Source organism: Homo sapiens, chromosome 17 (assembly GCF_000001405.40).
Source record: "Homo sapiens chromosome 17, GRCh38.p14 Primary Assembly".
NCBI lineage: Eukaryota > Metazoa > Chordata > Mammalia > Primates > Hominidae > Homo > Homo sapiens.
In genome coordinates this window covers 4850748-4870209 of record NC_000017.11, presented here as the reverse complement: position 1 = coordinate 4870209, position 19462 = coordinate 4850748, and the positions used below count along the sequence as shown (strand labels likewise).

The following is a 19462-nucleotide window of genomic DNA, read 5'->3' as shown; positions in this document are numbered from 1 at the left end:
CCGGGCGCAGTGACTCATGCCTGTAATCCCAGCACTTTGGGAGGCCGAGGCAGGTGGATCATGAGGTCAGGAGATCGAGACCATCCTGGCTTACACGGTGAAACCCCGTCTCTACTACAAAATAAAAAAAAAAAGTTAGCTGGGCATGATGGCGGGTGCCTGTAGTCCCAGCTACTCAGGAGGCTGAGGCAGGAGAATGGCGTGAACCCTGGAGGTGGGGCCTGCAGTGAGCTGAGTTCACGCCACTGCATTCCAGCCTGGGGCGACACAGCAAGACTCCATCTCAAAAAAAAAAGAAAGAAAAAAAATTGCGCCACTGCACCCCAGCCTGGGCAACAAACTGAGACTCTGTCTCAAAAATAAATAAATAAATAAATAAATAAATAAACAAATAAAATAATAAATAAAATAAAAATGAATAAATAAAAATAAAATAATTTTAAAAAGACAAAAAAAAAAAGAGATGCTGCCAAGGATATGGAGAAAGGGGAACTCTTATACACTTTTGGTGGGAATCTAAATTAGTACAGCCTCTATGGACAACAGTAAGCAGGTTCCTCAAAAAACTGAAAACAGAACTATCGTAAGATCGGGCAATACCACTGCTGGGTATATATCCAAAAGAGAAAAAATCGTCAGGTACAGTGGCCCACGCCTGTAATGTGAGCACTTTGGGAGGCCGAGGCAGGAGGATCACTTGAGCCCAGGAGTTAGAGACCATCCTGAGCAACATGGCGAGACCCCGTGTCTCTATAAAAAGTACAAAAAATTAGCTGGACGTGGTGGTATGCACCTGTAGTCCCAATTACTAGGGAGGCTGAGGCAGAATTGCTTGACTCTGGGAGGTGGAAGTTACAGTGAGCCGAGATCGTGCCATTGCACTGCAGCCTGGGCGATAGGAGTGAAACGCTGTCTCAAAAATAAATAAATAAATAAATAAATAAATAAATAAATAAATAAATAATAATTTAAAAATTAAAAAATTAGGCCGGGAGCGGTGGCTCACATCTGTAATCCCAGCACTTTGGGAGGCCGAGGCAGGCAGATCATGAGGTCAGGAGATCAAGACCATCCTGGCTAACATGATGAAACCCCGTCTCTACTAAAAATAAAAAAAAATTAGCCGGGCGTGGTGGCTGGCGCCTGTAGTCCCAGCTACTTGGGAGGCTGGGGCAGGAGAATGGCGTGAACCTGGGAGGCAGAGCTTGCAGTGAGCAGAGATTACGCCACTGCACACCAGCCTGCACGACAGAGCGAGACTCCACCTCAAAAAATAAATAAATAAATAAATAATTAGCCAGGTGTGGCAGTGTGCACCTGTGCTTCCAGCTACTTAGGAGGCTGAGGTGGGAGGACTGCTTGAGCCTGGGAGGTTGAGGCTGCATGCAGTAAGCCATGATCATGCCACTGCGCTCCAACCTGGGCAACAGAGTGAGACCCTGTCTCAAAAAAAAGAAAAAAAAGAGAAGAAATCAGTACATGGAAGAGACATCTACACTCCTATATTTATTGTAGCACTAGTTATCATAGCCAAGATATAGCGTTAACCTAAATAAATGCATACATAAAATATGGCATATCTATACAATCGAATATTATTCATCCATAAAAAGTAATGAAATCTGTCCACTTGCAGCAACATGGAAGAGCCCAGAGGATATTATGTTAAGTGAAATACACCAGGCACAGAAAGACAGACATTACATGGACTCTCTCATATATGGAGACTAGAAAGAGCTGGTCTCAAGGAGGTGGAGAGTAGAACGGGGGTTGCCAGAAGCTGTGAAGGGCAGGGGGATGAAGAGAGGCTGGTTAATGGATTCAGAAATACAGGTGGATAGAAGAAACATTAGAAGGTTCTAGTGTTTGACAGCACAGTAGGGTAACCACAGTTATCAATACTTTATGGTAAATTTAAAAAGAGCTAGAAGAGGGTTGGGCACGGTGGCTCACGCCTGTAATCCCAGCACTTTGGGAGGTCGAGGAAGGTGGACCACCTGAGGTCAGGAGTTTGAGACCAGCCTGGCCAACTGGGTGAAACCCCATCTCTACTAAAAATACAAAAATTAGCTGGGCGTGGTGGTGTATGCCTGTAGTCCCAGCTACTCAGGAGGCTGAGGCAGGAGAATCACTAGAACCTGGAAGGTGGAGGTTGCAGTGAGCCGAGATCATGCCATTGCACTCCAGCCTAAGCAACAGAGCAAGACTGTGTCTAAAGATATTAAAAAAAAAAAAAAAGAGCTAGAAGATATGGAATGTTCTCAACAAAATAAGCGTTTGAGGTAATGGATGCCCAAATTATGCTGATTTAATTATACATAGTATGCATGTATCAAAAGATCACATGTATTCCATCAATATGTATAATTATGTATCAATTCCTTTTTTTTTTCTTTTTTGGAGACAGTCTCACTCTGTCACCCAGGCTGGAGTGCAATGGCGCCATCTTGGCTCACTGCCACCTCCGCCTTCCAGGTTCAAGCAATTCTCCTGCCTCAGCCTCACCAGTAGCTGTGATTACCAGCCTCCCAAGTAGCTGTGACCACCATACCTGGCTAATTTTTGTAATTTTAGTAGAGATGGGGTTTCGCCATGTTGGCCAGGCTGGCCTCAAACTCCTAACCTCAGGTGATCCGCCCACCTTAGCCCCCCAAAGTGCTGGGATTATAGGCGTGAGCCACTGTACCTGGCCCAATTTTTAAAAATTTTAATTATTATTCTTTTTTAGAGCTAGGTCTCACTATGTTGCCCAGGCTGGTCTCAAACTCCTGGGCTCAAGTGATCCTCCTGCCTCAGCCTTTCAAAGTGTTAGGATTACAATTGTGAGCCATTGTACCTGACCGTGTACCTATTTTTTTAACGCATTTTTAAAAATCCTAAGAGGTAGGGCATGGTGGCTCATACCTGTAACCCTGAGATTACAGGTATGAGCCACTCAGGAGACTGAGATAGGAGGATCACTTGAGCCCAGGAGGATGAGCCTACAGTGAGCTGTGGTCATGCCACTGCACTCCAGCCTGGATGACAGAGCAAGACCCTGGCTTAAAAAAAAAAAAAAAAAAAAAAAAAAACAGTCCTAAGAGCACCTACTATAGTGTGCAGTTTATTATTATTATTATTATTATTATTATTATTTTGAGACGAGTCTCACTCTGTCACCCAGGCTGGAGTGCAAGCGGCACGGTCCCGGTTCACTACAAGCTCCGCCTCCCGGGTTCACGCCATTGTCCCGCCTCAGCCTCCGGAGCAGCTGGGACTACAGGCGCCCGCCACCACGCCCGGCTAATTTTCTGTATTTTTAGTAGAGATGGGGTTTCACCACGTTGGCCAGGATGGTCTCAATCTCCTGACCTCGTGATCCGCCTGCCTCGGCCTCCCGAAGTGCTGGGATTCCAGGCGTGAGCCACCGCGCCCGATCGAGTTTTTTGTTTTTTAATTGAGATGCAGTGTTGCTCTGTCACCCAGGCTGGAGTGCAGTGCCAGAATCATGGCTCACTGCCGTCTCAGGCTGCTGTGCTTAAGCAATCCTACCTCAGCCTCCCAAGTAGCCGGGACTACAGGCGTGTGCCATCATGCCTGGCTATTTTTTTTTTTTTTTTTGGTAGAATCAGGGTCTCACTATGTTGCTCAGAATTTGGTTTCTTATTCTTGGCTCTGCTGCCAACAGGCTGTGTGTTCAAGGACCACTTAACTTCTCTAAGTTCCCTTTCAGTAAGATAGAAATTTTTTTTTTTTTTTAATTTTGAGACGGAGTCTCACTCTGTCACCAGGCTGGAGTTCAGTGGCGCGATCTCGGCTCCCTGCAACCTCCAACTTCCTAGTTCAAGCGATTCTCCTGCCTCAGCCTCCCGAGTAGCTGGGACTACAGGCACACCCCACCACGCCCAGCTAATTTTTTGTATTTTTAGTAGAGACGGGGTTTCACCATGTTGGCCAGGATGGTCTTAATCTCCTGACCTCGTGATCCATCTGTCTTGGCCTCCCAAAGTGCTGGGATTACAGGCGTGAACCACCGCGTCTGGCCCAAAAACTTTCTAACTCTATGATTCTAAATGGGTCCACACTCCATGAGGCTGCCAACCTAACGACTATTAATTCCTTCCTATTGTGTACCAGAAACTGTGCTAGGCTGGGGAATAGAACAGTGAGTAACTGAAGCAGTCCCTACCTTACTGGTGTTTATGTTCTGAGGAGAGAGGCACACATTAATAACCTCTACAATTAATTGTGTAATTACAGCTGTGGTATGTCTTTGTTTTCTTTCTTTCTTTCGTTGCATCTCAGATGACACAAACCCATGTATCGTTTCTTTTTTGAGACAGGTTCTCACTCTGTCACCTAGGCTGGAGTGCAGTGGCACAATCATAGCTCACTGTAGCCTCGAACTCCTGGACTCAAGTGATCCTCCTGCCCTAGCCTACCAGGTAACTGGGACTACAAGCACACACACCACTCTGCCTGGATACTGGCTTTTTTTTTTTTTTTTTTTTGGTAGAGACGGGTCTCCCTGTGTTGATCAGGCTGGTCTCGAACTTCTGGGCTCAAGCGATCCTCCTGCCTGTCTTCCAAAGTGCTGAGATTACAGGTGTGAGCTACCATGCCTAGCCTATTTTAATGTTTTTTTCATAGATCACAATTTCATCATTTTATTCTATGTAGCTGTTCCACATAGGCACATTTGTCCTTATGAGAAAAAGGGGAAGAAAAAAAAATCCTTGAAACTTTCCCCCTCTAGTCCAGTGTCTGGTTATTTATTTATTTATTTATTTATTTTTTGAGACAGTGTCTCACCCTGTTGCCCAGGCTGGAGTGCAATGGCGCGATCTCGGCTCACTGCAACCTCCACCTCCCGGGTTCAAGGGATTCTCCTGCCTCAGCCTCCCAAGTAGCTGGGATTACAGGCGCCCACCACTACACCCGGCTAATTTTTTGTGTGTTTTTAGTAGAGACGGAGGTTCACCATGTTAGTCAGGCTGGTCTCGAACTCCTGACCTCAGGTGATCTGCCCGCCTCGGCCTCCCAAAGTGCTGGGATTACAGGCGTGAGCCACCGCGCCCGGCCCAGTGTCTGGTTATTTAAATACACATCTCATGTAAAACAGAAAAGATAAAAAAGTAAAGATAAAAATAAAAACGTATGGAGTGACACTCCTCCTGCTGCTGCCAAGTGTGTCTCTTGGACCAAAAAGGAGGAAGGAAGGTTTTGGTCGTGGAAAGAGCTCTGGTCTGTCTTATGTGCTGTGAAGTGCAGGGTGCCAAGAGAGCACACCTGACCGAGGCTGGGGAGCCAGGAAAAGGTTCTTTTGAAGAAGACATATTCAAGCTGCGGTGGTCTAACCGGCTTTCCAGTACCCTCCTCTAAACAATGAGTGCTGTAATCTGCCCCATCCTTCCGGTCCTGATCTTTACCACTTTAGGAGCTTGCCCATATCGGCCATCTCAGAGATCACTGTCATTGTCCACTCTCCCCATAGCTCTTTTTTTTGAGATGGAGTCTCACTCTTGTCGCCTAGGCTGGAGTTCAATGGTGCGATCTCGGCTCACTGCAACATCTATCTCCCGGGTTCAAGCGATTCTCCTGCCTCAGCCTCCCCAGTAGCTGGGATTACAGGCACCCACCACCATGCCCGGCTAATTTTTGTATTTTTAGTAGAGATGGGGTTTCACCATGTTGGCCAGGCTGGTCTCGAACTCCTAACCTCAGGTGATCCACTCCACCTCGGCCTCCCAAAGTACTGGGATTACAGGCATGAGCCACCAGGCCCGGCCCCCATAGCCCTTTATTTAATTAATTAATTATTTATTCTTTTTGAGACAGAGTTTTGCTCTTGTTGCCCAGGCTGGAGTGCAAGGGTGTGATTTCGGCTCACTGCAACCTCCGCCTCCCAGGTTCAAGCGATTCTCCTGCCTCAGCCTCCCGAGTAGCTGGGATTACAGGCATGCGCCACCACGCCTGGCTAATTTTGTATTTTTAGTAGAGACGGGGTTTCTCCATGTCGGTCAGGCTGGTCTCGAACACCCGACCTCAGGTGATCCACCCACCTCAGCCTCCCAAAGTGCCGGGATTACAGGCATGAGCCACTGCACCTGGCCCCCATAGCCCTTTAATAATGACACAGCTAGGCCGGGCAAGGTGGCTCACTCCTATAATCCCAGCACTTTGGGAGGCCGAGGCAGGCGGATCATTTGAGGTCAGAAGTTTGAGAGCAGCCTGACCAACATGGTGAAACCCCGTCTCTACTAAAAATACAAAAATTAGCTGGGCGTGGTGGCACACACGTGTAATCCAGCTACTTGGGAGGCTGAGGCAGGAGAATCTCTTGAACCCGGGAGGCGAAGGTTGCAGTGAGCCGAGATTGCGCCACCGCACTCCAGCCTGGGTGACAGAGTGAGACTCCGTCTCAAAAATAATAATAATAATAATAATAATGAGACAGCTAGCAATTTTTGAGCATTTCATTTGTTCCTGGTACTGCCGAGCACTTTAGAAGTATAATCTCACATGACAAACTTTGAAGTGGGTACTATTGTTATACTCATTTCACAGGTGAAAAAGTTTACAACAATTAAACACTTGCCCAGGCTAGGAAGTGGTAGAGCCAAGATTTGACTGAAAAATCTGACCTCAAGGCCTGCAGTGTGCTTTGCCTGGCTCATAGCTCCTGTTGCCTAAAGGACCGGGTTTTCCACCATTTCCTCCCCTTTCTAGCCCCAGCAACAGTTTAAGACATGAGTTCCTGACCCCAGGGAGCCAGTCCAAGATTGAAGGAAAAAAGGTAACCTAAGGCAAACTTCCCCTTCAGCCATTTCAAATAAAAGGGAAGATGCCAAAGAGTGCATGGAGAGTCAAGGCTGGAGAGCCCATTATTATCTCAGGTAAAGGAAAGCAGAGGCCATGAGTGGGCAGAGTGGCCACACTGTACACAGAGAGCACAGCAGACATGGAAGGAGAGGGCATGGGAACTACAGGGGGAGACAGAAGCGGGAGAGTGACCAACTGACTCTAGCTATCCCCCGCTGTTACCATTAACCCAGAACCACCCTATGGTTTCAGTTCCAAGGAACTGTCTGGGCTGCCATTCAGGTGCCTAGGTTCGAACAAGATTCTTTTTCTTTTCTCTTTTCTTTTCCCTTGGCATGTGAAGTGAGAAGGATTTTTTTTGGTTTTTGTTTTGTGAGGCAGGGTCTTGCAATGTTGCCCAGGCTGGAGTGCAGTGGTGCAATTGCAGCCCACTGCAGCTTCAACCTCTTGGGTTCAAGCAGTCCTCCCACCTCAGCTTCCTGAGTAGCTGGAACCACGGGCATGCACCATCATGCCCAGCTACTTTTTAAAACCTTTTTTGTAGAGATGGGATCTCACTGTGTTGCCCAGGCTGGTATTGAACTCCTGGGCTCAAGCAATCCTGCTGCCTCGGACACACAAAGTGCTAGAATTACAGGCATGAGCCACACGCCCTTCCAAGAAGGGTCTTGACTTTAAATAAAAAATAATATTGACAGCCTGGCACTGTGCTAAGTGTTTTACACACACCAACTAATTTTTCTTTTTTTTTTTTTGAGATGGATTCTCACTCTGTCACCCAGGCTGGAGTGCAGTGGCGCAATCTTGGCTCACTGCAACCTCCACTTCCTGGATTCAAGCAGTTCTCCTGCCTCAGCCTCCCAGTAGCTAGGATTACAGGTGCCCGCCACCACGCCAGGCTAGTTTTTGTATTTTTAGTAGAGACGGGGTTTCGCCATGTTGGCCTGGCTGGTCTTGAACTCCTGACCTCAGGTGATCCACCCGTCTCGGCCTCCCAAAGTGCTGGGATTACAGGCGTGAGCCACCGTGCCTGGCCCACACACCAACTAATTTAATCCTCACCTAACTCCATGAGGTAGATATTATTATTATTCTCACTTTACAGAGGAGGAAACAGGCTCAGGGAAGGTAAATAACTTGCCAAGGTCAAACAGCTATTTCAGTGGCAGAGCCAGGGTTTGAATGCATGTAGCCGGCTCGAGTCTCTGCTGCATCTCTCCCTTTATTTGACTTAGCTAGAGCAGATTCCTTCCAACCCAACAAGCCAGACCACAACATCTCTATTTAACCTTTCACAGGACCAAGCCTCATCTCCACAAGTAGAACAGAAGCTCATTAAGGGCAGGAGCCATTTCTAGGTGGTACTTGGGTATACATGGAATGAGAATTAGGCGGCCTCACACTGAGATGGGTGCCCGAATGAAAACAGCAGTACTTTATCTGTGCAGCTCTGAATCTATAACATACACAAAACGACTATTGTCGCATAGTGAGCATGTGGGGTAACAGTCTGCGGCTGCTTTCTCTCACTCACTAGAGCTTCTATTACTAAGCATGTCTTATCTCCTCACATTTTACATATAATAAAATTGTGTAAAATCTTTGGTTGGGCCGGGCATGGTGGCTCACCCTGTAATCCCAGCACCTTGGGAGGCTGAGGCGAGTGGATTACCTGAGGTCAGGAGTTCAAGACCAGCCTGGCCAACATGGTGAAACTCTGTCTCTACTAAAAATACAGAAAGTATCTGGGTGTGGTGGCACGTGCCTGTAATCTCAGCTACTAGGGAGGCTGGGGCAGGAGAATCGCTTGAACCCAGGAGGCGGAGGTTACAGTAAACTGAGATCGTGCCACTGCAATCCACCTTGGGCAACAGAGTGAGACTCCAACTCAAAAAAATAAATAAATAAAAACCTTTGGTTGATGGAGAGGCTCAAGAAGATACCATACAAGTGTTGGACTCAATTATTGAAAGGTGGGGCTCTGGAATAACAGACAGAGCGCCTCATGTGGGTCGAAATAGATGTCGCCTGGCACTGTGCCCTGCGTTGTTTACGATGTATAATTGTACATATTGCTTTGCTCAGCTATGAAGAGCCAACAGTGATGTTAACGCAGAAACTCTTGGTAGATGTCTCGTCTCTCGCAGCTCCGCATACAATGCAAGGCACTGGCCACACCAGGCTGGCCCCAAGCAGCACGTCCTGGTGACACTGCACTCGCCTCACTAGGGAGCTGCCTGTGGTTTGCTCCTGTTCCCCTCACAGCTCCAGGTATGTTCTGAGTATATACGAGGTCACCAAATCGTCGCTGATTTAATGATTCAACGCCAGACAGAGCAAGGCGGAGCTGGGTTTGCTCAAGGAAAGCTTTTCAGAAGAAGCTGAGGAACAAGGGCTGGAGGGAGAGAAGAGGCACAAAGCTGGTGGCCTGAGGCAGGCAAGGGGAGGGCACGAGCTGTCCCCTCAGACTCTGCTCCTCTGCCTTAAATCCCCCTTTAACTATTTCAAGTGTATTAGTTTCCCCAGCTTCAAAAGCTTCCCGAAGTTGCTCCCTAAGGCTTCGGCATCTCCCCAGCACGTGGCGCGCACTGGTGCTGTACAGTTAAGGGACACAGCGCCGTGGTCCTTCCACCTGCACCACGGTCTCTGCTCCCTAGAACTGACCAGGGGAGAACCAGGCACACACCAGCCTTGAGCCCTTGCTTCTTTGCTCTGCTCAGCCTCAAGGGACTCCCTGGACTCCTCCCACAGCTCCTACCTGGAGGAAAAACTAGGGGCAAATGTGAGCCCGTTGCAGCTCTCACGGTGCTGCCTGGGGCCCAGCATCAACAGACATTTTCCTTTCCTTTCCCCAAAACCAAAGTCATGTTAGTGTAGTAGTAGTAGTACAGACTGAGAGGAGATTAGAAACAAAGGGTTTGATTATTTCCCAAGAGAAAATGCAAGAGTTCATGCATAAACTGTTTCCAGAACGCTGTCCGGTTGGGAGGCTGGGACACGAACTGAAACTCAGAGCCTAGGAAGCGTGAGCCAAGGCTGTGGGGCCAGGAAAAGGAGAGAAGGTGAAACCCCCGTCAGTCCCTCACAATCAGCACGTGGAAATCTAGAAATGCAGGAGAGGCCTGGACTCATGGTGGAATCCAGAATGAAAGAGGTGGACGACTGAATGAGCAGAAGGAGGCAAGCACCAGAGGCTTGGGGGTCACATTTCTTGGAAGTGGCCTGGAGCTGGCAGATGAGAACTCTGGCTACCCGTCCTCATTCCACTAACAGTAGCTCCTCTAACGACATGCCCCTTCCCTCTGTACCCCGCTCCGCATGCGGCAAGTAGTTCCCGGACGCGACCCTTCCCCCTGTACCCCGCTCCGCATGGGGCCAGTAGTTCCCGGACGCGCCCCTTCCCTCTGTACCCCGCTCCGCATGCGGCAAGTAGTTCCCGGACGCGCCCCTTCCCTCTGTACCCGGCTCCGCATGCGGAAAGTAGTTCCTACGGTGTTGGTTTTGCATGTAGATGAAACCCTTTGAGGGGTAAAGGTTTTTTTTTTAAGTACTTTAGCAAATGCAAACTGTTATTATCAATATTAGCCAGCATCTTTTTTTTTTTTTTTTTTTTTTTTTTTGAGATGGAGTTTCGCTCTTGTCACCCAGGCTGGAGTGCAATGGCAAAATCTAGGCTCACTGCAACCTCCGCCTCCCAAGTTCAAGCGATTCTCCTGCCTCAGCCTCCCAGGTAGCTGGGATTACAGGCGTGTGCAACCACACCCAGCTAATTTTTGTATTTTTAGTAGAGACAGGGTTTCACCATGTTGGCCAGGCTGGTCTCGAACTCCTGACCTCATGTGATCCATCCGCCTCAGCCTCCCAAAGTGCTGGGATTACGTAGCCAGTGTCTTTCTTAAGTGCCTGTCAAATAATGCTCCTGGTTTATAAGTGCCCCTGGCTCTACCTTCTGGGTGCTCAGACACCAACACAGAGAGAACAGAATTAACATCCTGAGAAGTTACATATGCTAAAATATAAAGAGTAAGATTGTGAGGAAACTGCAGGGGAAGCAGGTAGGTTAGGAAAAGGTATCCTCACTTTTCTGCTGACCGATGAGTCATAATTCTTGAATTTCGGTGCTGGAAAGGTCCATTAAGCATTCCAGGAGATTCTAGGGAGCTTCCAGAATGGTAGAAGAACTGGAACCATAAAGCCTGGGGAAGGGATGGAAGTCCTTGGGAAAGAAGCACTAAACAGCCCAGTGGAGACAAGGAAGGACTGGTCTCTCCTGTGCTTCGAGCCCAGCAATGATTATTCACTCAGATATGCCCCGGCAGGTCCTGCTGCTAGAGCCAGTGCTGTTCCCAGACCCAGGCAAGGTGCCATCCTACCCCTGACAGGAAACAGGGCAGGAGGTGGGGCTGCCCCGGGTGCCTGGTGTTGGGAGGGGCCGGGGGGAATCCCGGGTGTTGGGAGGACAAGGCAGAGTCAGCTAGCTGTGAGGCTAGGGGAGAAGACCTCTCTAGTCTGGGAGAGACCCCTCCTTTCCTAGCTCCTTGTACTTCCAAAAAGGCAGGCTTCCTGCTGTTACTAACCATACCAGGACTGACTATACAGCAGCCAGAAAGATTCTGAGAAACCTGTGATAGAGAAAAACAGATGCGGAAGCGGGAGAAGAGAATTTCATAGGACACTAGGGAAAGAGAATGGGAACTTGTGGTCTAAAGAGGGAACCAAGTCTGGCCAACATGGTGAAACCCCATCTCTATTACAAATACAAAAATTAGCTGGGCATGGTAGTGCATGCCTGTAATCCCAGCTACTCAGGAGGGTAAGGCATGAGAATCACTTGAGACTGGGAGGCGGAGGTTGCAGTGAGCCGAGACTGCACCACTGCACTCCAGCCTGGGCAACAGAGCAAGACCTCGTCTCAAAAAAAAAAAAAAATTAAATTTAAATTAAAAAAAAATAAACAGGGAACCAACAAGAGCTGGCAGAACAGAATAAAGTCTCAAGCCAAATAACTCCCTTGCCTTGGAAGAACAAGGCTGCCAGCGTCTTGGAGCCTCTGTTTATCGGGTACCAGTTCAAAGGACAGTGAGCCTGAGCTGGCCTGGGAGGCCCTCCCCCCTCCCAGATGAAAACAATAGGCCTGTTTTCCTGAGCTCTTCCTGTAATCCAGAAGGCCCACACAGAGAGGAAGAGGGGGGCAAAGGCAGTGGCTATACCCAGTGGGGGAGGGGATATTTAGCCTCCCATAAATTCATCAGCTCCCTTAAAGACACCCCAAAACACCAACAATCTAAGTGTTAAAATAGTGACTGCTATGCAAATGGAGCTTTAAAACCTATCCCTTAGCCCCAGTACCACCAGATTACTAACCCTAAACCCCATCTGTAGGAGATATTCTGAAGCCACCACAGGGGAAGGGATAAGGGCCTGAGAGACAAAGGACAGATGGGGTCTCCCCAACAATTTAAGTTAAGTTCCACAAGGATACAGTACTGGCAGAGATTTGGAAGTAGGGGCAAGTATTCTGACAGAAGGGTGGTGTCTTAGGCACCCTTCAATTAGGAGTAGCTAAAGGCTGTGTGTGTGTCTGTGTGTGTGCATAAGAAAAGAAATAGGAGGGTGTGTGTGTGGTAAGAAAGAGCATCTTGGCTGGGCGCGGTGGCTCACCCCTATAATCGCAGCACTTTGGGATGCCAAGGCTGGCGGATTGCCTGAGCTCAGGAGTTTGAGACCATACGGGGCAACATGGTGAAACCCCATCTCTACTAAAAATACAAAAAATTAGCTGGGCATGGTGGTGCGTGCCTATAGTTCCAGCTACTCGGGAGGCTGAGGCATGAGAATGGCTTGAGCCCTGGAGGCAGAGGTTGAAGTGAGCTGAGATCGCACCATTGCATTCCAGCTTGGGCTACAGAGTGACACTCCATCTCAAAAAAAAAAAAAAAAAAAAAAAAAACCAGCATCTTTGCTGCCACTAGTCCACTGTCTTTGCACTCACTCTCTGCCATGCCCATCCTTGTCCCCCTCCCCACTCACAGACATGTCCAACAACAGCCCCGAGTATGCTTTGGTTTTCACCATCTCGGGTGCTATGGCCACCATGGTCTCCAGTGGCCTGGGTGCTGCCTGTGGCATGGCCAAGAATGGCACCGGCATCATGGCCATGTCTGTCATGTGGCCAGAGCTGATCCACATGAAGTCCATCATCCCAGTGGTCATGGCTGGTATCATCACCATCTATGGCCTAGTGGCGGCTGTCCCCCCTGCCAACTCCCTGAATGATGACAACAGTCTCTATAGCAGTTTCCTCCAGCTGGGCGCTGGCCTGAGTGGCCTGGCAGCCGGCTTTGCCATCGTCATCGTGGGGGACACTGGCAAGTGTGGCACTGCCCAGCAGCCCCGACTATTTGTAGGCATGATACTGATCCTCATCTTTGCCAAGGTGCTCATTCTCTCCACAAAGCAGCCCCTCTCAAAACCCACCAGTCACAGAATACGATGTAAAGACCACCCCTCCTCATTCCGGAACAAACAGCCTGACACGCATGTGCTGGGCAGCTGGCCCTCAGTAGTTGATCTTCTAAGTGTACAGTGTCCTCGTGTTCATCGTCTGTTGGCCAGGCCTTGCCCCCTCCCGCCCCATGCTGTGGACATCTGAACCTACTCATCACCCATCCAGGTCCCCGACCAGTGAGGACTCAGGCCCCTGGATGCCCCACCCATCTCCCTTGAGTACTCTATGTATAAGGATGAATTAGAGTTGTCATTTTCTCTTCATTAGATATTTATAAAGATTTGGCCTGTCCATACCCCTGTGGAGCAGCCCTCATCTCCCACCTATCTGTCACGTCATGGAGGTTCCCATTGCGGAGGCTCCTTGGATGGAACCACCCTCTCCAGCCCGCGCTGCCAGGCCCTGTGCGGCAGCTGTGTCTGATAAAGTTCTCAGATGTCGGGGGAGGGAAAGAAAAAAAAAAGAGAGTGTGAGTACGTAAGAGAGAGAAAACGGGAGTGGGTGTGTGAGCTGGAGACAGGGAAGTGGCAGGAAAAGTCTGATAAGATCACCTCCTTCCTACCCAAGCAGAGATACTGGACACAGCCCCTCAAGGACCCAGAGGGTAAGTAGAGCGCGAGATGCTTGCCTTTCTCAATGGGAGGTGGCCTCCCAGGCCTGAAGAAGTCTCCATTTACCCCAGAGCCAACTAGGAAGCAGGTAGACAGCATCATCCCCACTTATACCCCAAGGTGCTTGGGGTGAATGGCAGGCCCAAAGCCAAAGCATGAGACAGATTAAATGTTCCTATGGCGAGAGAAGGAGAAGGGGTCACCAGCATCTCTCCACTGAGCAAATGAAAGGAAGAGAGAAGGCAGGCTGATACCCTCATCAATTTCCTACTGTCCATGATATACCACCATCAACTGGACTTTTTTTTTTTTTTTGAGATAGAGTCTCGCTTTTGTCACCCAGGCTGGAGTGCAGTGGCATGATCTCAGCTCACTGCAACTTCCATCTCCCAGGTTCAAGTGATTCTCCCGCCTCAGCCTCCTGAGTAGCTGGGATTACAGGTGCCTGCTACCACATCCAGCTGATTTTTTTTGTATTTTTAGTAGAGATGGGGTTTCTTTCTTTTTTTTTTTTTTTTTTGAGACGGAGTCTTGCTCTGTCGCCCAGGCTGGAGTGCAGTGGCGCGATCTCGGCTCACTGCAACCTCCGCCTCCCAGGTTCACGCCATTCTCCTGCCTCAGCCTCCCGAGTAGCTGGGACTACAGGCACCTGCCACCACACTCGGCTAATTTTTTGTATGTTTAGTAGATATGGGGTTTCACTGCTGTCTCAACCTTCTGACCTCATGATCCGCCCGCCTCGGCCTCCCAAAGTGCTGGGATTACAGGCATGAGCCACTGTGCCCGGCCTTTTTTTTTTTTTTTGAGATGGAGTCTCGCTCTGTCGCCCAGGCTGGAGTGCAATGCCACAATCTCAGCTCACTGCAAGCTCCACCTCCGAGGTTCACGCCATTCTCCTGCCTCAGCCTCCTGAGTAGCTGGGACTACAGGCGCCCGCCACCACGCCCAGCTAATTTTTTGTATTTTTAGTAGAGACGGGGTTTCACCTTGTTAGCCAGGATGGTCTTGATCTCCTGACCTCGTGATCCACCTGCCTCAGCCTCCCAAAGTGCTGGGATTACAGGTGTGAGCCACCATGCCTGGCCTTTTTTTTTTTTTTAAGACAGGAGTGTGGTGGCACAATCTCAGCTCACTGCAACCTCCCCTTCTAGGTTCAAGCAATTCTCCTGCCTCAGCTTCCTAAGTATAGTAATAGCTGGGACTATAGGCGCCCACCACCACGCCCGGCTAATCTTTTGTATTTTTAGTAGAGATGGGGTTTCACCATGTTGGCCAGGCTGGTCTCGAATTGCTGACCTCAAGTGATCTGCCCACCTGGGCCTCCCAAAGTGCTGGGACTATAGGCGGGAGCCACCGCGCCCAGCCTGGACTCTTTTTAATGAAGCCTTCAAAAAAACTCCTTTTCTCAGCGCTTCTTACTCTCTGAAACAGACTCTCCACTCTGCTAACCCTGCCTCTCACACTGTGGAACTCAACCGGATCTTTTTATTCTGAATCCACAACGTGAAGTACTTGTCCTCTGTCTATCGATGGCTACCTGTGTTTTGAAGTGTTTTTATGGGAATGAAGCACTGGAGGGGAGGAAATCAGGCCAGTTCTAGAAGTAGAAGGAAGGCGAAGAAACCAGGAAAAATATTTATGTGATGGGAGGAAAGGCAGTTTATAAATCACTCATGGATCTCTATGCCAGAGGGATGTGTGAGACACACGCATGCACACACACACTGACTTGCAGGTACATGCAGAGGCAGAAACAAGTCAGGACATGACACATACATGAATACACATACCATTCTCATCAGAAACCAGTCAGAGCAGAGGGGCCCTGCCTGGAGCAAGGAGACTGGAATTTATTCCCCTCCTCCTCTCAAAGGGTAATTTTGCTGCCTCCATGTCTAGGTTCCCCACAGATCTGGCTGCCTCAGACAGGGGCCCTGGTCTGGTGGCTGGACTCAGCCTGGAGGTCTTCACAGATGGAGGCCTATAAGAGGTGGCAGCTGACACCTGGAGGGAGCTGGATGAAAGCAGGCAGTGCAGAGTAGAGAAAGCCAGGTGGTGGGGGAGGGAGTGAGGGAGAAGAGGGGACCAGATTCAAGCAGCCTTGCGCTGGTTCTAAAATGGCCACAGCAAGGCAACGGACAGATGGTCCCTTTCTGATGCTGAGCCGGGGAAGTGGGGAAAGGGAAAAGGAAAAAATAAACACCATCACAGTCAGAAATTTAAAAATAAACTGAAAAACCTAAAAAATAAACCGTTTGCTTCTGAGGTTCCGTCTGCCTCCAGAACCTTCTAAGGGAAAATACAGAACTGCAGGCCTGGAAGGGCAGCCCCAGCCTCGGGTGTGAAGATAGTTGGAGGTCATTCTAGCCATCTCCTATCCCCAGCTGGAGTATCTTGCAAAGTCTTTCAGGCAGCGGAGGTGGTATCTCAGCCTTTACCTCCCCAGCACTTCTTCTCAAGTCTCACTGTAGGTAAGCGAGGCCATGGCTTTTCAAATGTCAGAGCCGTTTGATTCTGTCTCTCTCCCAAGAATCAGTTTCCGTCCGAGATCAGCAGAATCAAGTTCATCCTCTCACAGTTGCTGCCTCTCCTACCACCACCCAACTGCCCAGACTTTACAGTTCACAGGGTGCTTTCACAGTCATGACTGCATCTGCACTTAAACCTGCAGGGAAGCTTGGCAGGAATGACTAGCTCAGAGCACAGATGAGAAAGCCAGGGCTCTAACAAGTGAAATGTTTGTCAAGGTGAAGCAAGCGCTCAAACTTGCATAGCCTTCCGATGGCACACAGCAACAACCACACTCCCCCACCAACCACACTCTTCCCACCAACCACACTCCCCCCACCAACCACACTCCCCCTCAACCACACTCCACCAACCACACTCCCCCAACCACACTCTTCCCACCAACCACACTCCCCCCAACCACACTCTTCCCACCAACCACACTCCCCCACCAACCACACTCTTCCCACCAACCACACTCCCCCACCAACCACTCTACCTACCAACCACATTCCCCCCACCAACCACACTCTTCCCACCAACCACACTCCCTCACCAACCACACTCCCCCCACCAACCACACTCCCCCCACCAACCACACTCCCCCTCAACCACACTCCCCCACCAACCACACTCCCCCACCAACCACACTCCCCCCACCACACTCCCCCAACCACACTTCCCCCACCAACCACACTCCCCCCATCAACCACACTCCCCCCACCAACCACACTCCCCCTCAACCACACTCTCCCCACCAACCACACTCCCCCCACCAACCACACTCCCCCATCAATCACACTCCTCCACCAACCACACTCCCCACCAACCACACTCCCCCTCAACCACACTCCCCCCAACAACCACACTCCCCCACCAACCACACTCCCCCACAAATCACACTCCCCCACCAACCACACTCCCCCACCAACCACACTCCCCCACCAACCACACTCCCCCACAAACCACACTCCCCCACCAAACACACTCCACCCATCAACCACACTCCCCCACAAATCACACCCCCCCCACCCAGTAGATTCTGTCTCCCTCTGTGGGCCAAACAGGTTCTTCCTCAGGCTCACATATGACTGCTGTACAGCTGAATATCCCAGCTATGGTTTACCTGGAGCCTTGCCAATTCTCATGCTGGTGCCTTTTGGTTCTTGCTGGTGTGGGGATGAGGCAGAGGGGCAGGAACACTGCACTAACTAGTGGCTTTCTCTCTGTTCCTTCTCACTCCTGGGTCTCCACATGCTGTTCATCACTCTCCTCCTCTTTACCTGGATGCCTCGTGCCTGTGCCTCCCGACCTCCACTGAGACAATGTCACCTCCAGGAAGTGCCCCTCACAATCCTCTCCTCCCACAATACCCTGTACTGACTCTTTCGTGACACCAATTACATTTTTGTGATTGATTCTCTTATCTGTCTCCTCTGCTAGACTAAGTTCTTGGAGGTCAGGGCTGCCCTCAATACCTGTCTGTGGAATGAATGAATACAGAAATAAAAGAAAAACCTCCCTCCTTCCTTAATGCAGCAGTTATCTAGAAAAACCTCCCTCCTTCCTTAATGCAGCAGTTTCTCACACTAGTTTTGGATTATCTCCATCCTTCCAAAATAATCCTTGAATATTCACTTAAGTGGAATGCATTAGAGCAGCTACTAAAAGTGAATCTCCTTTTTGTCATATGAATCAGCACCTCATAATTTATATGCTTGGTAAATGTTTTACCAGAGAGTGGACTTTCTTAGTTTTTTTTTTTTTTTTTTTTTTTTTTTTGAGACAGAGTCTCACTCTGTTGCCCAGGCTGGAGTGCAGTGGGGTGATCTCAGCTCACCGCATCCTCTGCCTCCCCGATTCAAGTGATTCTCCTGTCCCAGCCTCCCAAGTAGTTGGGATTACAGGCACAAGCCACCACACCCGGCTAATTTTTGTATTTTTAGTAGAGACAGGGTTTACCTTGTTGGTCAGGCTGGTCTTGAACTCCTGACCTCAGGTGATCCACCCACCTTGGCCTCCTAAAGTGCTGGGATTACAGGCGTGAGCCACCACGCACGGCCCGAGAGTGGACTTTCTTAAGGCAGGGAATTCCTACGTGGTTGGCAAAAACCACACGGGAACACTAATAATGGCCCAAAGAGGTCGGGAGACAATGGGGCCAGGAGAGATGAAGGGAAGGCTTCTCGGAGGAGAAAAGAGCTCAGCGCAGTGGAAAGGAGAAGGAAACGGGCAGAGGCTGGGCTGGGTGAGAAGGGCCAAAGAAGTCCCCATCGCAGGGGGGCAGACAGCGAGCAGGAAGGCTCTAAGATGGAAGAGGGTAACTCAGGGGTAGGCTTTCTTAGCTGAGGACAACAGCAAGACAGGAGTGTGGTGAAATGGAATGATGGTGCTTAGTGTTTACTGCACTAAGAATCAGAAGGCCTGGGCACTGGTTCTGACTCTTCTGTATAATTTAGGCAAATCCGCAAATCACTTAACCTCTTGGAGGTTCTTTTCCTTATCTACCCAGGCCCATTTCACAAGAATTCACCGATGTGGAAACATTTTAAAATCCATAAAATGCTACAAATTTGCATAGAGTCATTATGAAGAAACTGGCTCCCACAAAGCAAGGCAAAACTGTGGCAAAAAGTGATTTACCAAAACTGTTGGCGTTACTGGGATTTAGGGTGAAGTGTGGCAGTTCAGGAGAGAAGAAACAAGATAAAAAGTAGAATTGAGAGGAAGGCAGGTGAGACAGAAGGGAGGAAAACCAGATCTGTGGCCTCGGAGGCAGGCTGACAGGGGCAGGGAGGAGGGCCAGTCCCTGGGAAGCAGACACCAGAGAGAGCAAGGAAGGGCACAGCATGGCAGTGGGAGGGGGCAGAAAGGAGATGCCAGGCCCGTTCAGGCTGGCAGATACCAAGCTAACGGAGGAGGACAACACTAGTAATGAGGGGTTGGATAATAATAAGGCTTCTTGCTGCTGGTTTTCAATTGCAGCACAAACAGATCATTATATCTTATTGCCAGCCTCCTTCTGTGGGAGTCA

The 19462-nt window shown here is 49.5% G+C and overlaps 1 protein-coding gene and 1 pseudogene across 29 annotated transcripts in view, besides 2 other annotated features; one reads left to right on the top strand and one right to left on the bottom strand.

Annotated features, from left to right (window-relative positions):
- The window catches only part of MINK1 (misshapen like kinase 1), a 64722-nt gene that overhangs the window by 27852 nt on the left and 17408 nt on the right, over positions 1-19462 (bottom strand). For 2 of the 29 annotated variants that reach the window (XM_017024708.2, XM_017024707.3), the window contains exon 1: positions 10882-11096. The exons of 26 other annotated variants lie outside the window; for them this stretch is intronic. The gene's annotated coding sequence lies outside the window, so the exon portion shown is untranslated. Of the gene's footprint in view, positions 1-10881; positions 11097-19462 lie in introns of those variants that run through there. One more of the 29 variants, NM_001321236.2, reaches the window with a different exon arrangement.
- Positions 10062-10356: a silencer, noted in NCBI's record as "tiled region #481; K562 Repressive non-DNase unmatched - State 16:ElonW". NCBI's record gives its function as "represses a minimal TATA promoter and a strong SV40 promoter by Sharpr-MPRA in K562 cells {active_cell/tissue: K562}" and the evidence as "EXISTENCE:reporter gene assay evidence [ECO:0000049][PMID:27701403]".
- ATP6V0CP1 (ATPase H+ transporting V0 subunit c pseudogene 1) lies at positions 12811-13243 on the top strand (annotated as a pseudogene).
- Positions 15413-16364: an enhancer, noted in NCBI's record as "H3K27ac hESC enhancer chr17:4757141-4758092 (GRCh37/hg19 assembly coordinates)". NCBI's record gives its function as "activates a minimal SCP1, AML or CMV promoter by ChIP-STARR-seq in naive H9 embryonic stem cells {active_cell/tissue: H9 hESC(naive)}" and the evidence as "EXISTENCE:reporter gene assay evidence [ECO:0000049][PMID:30033119]".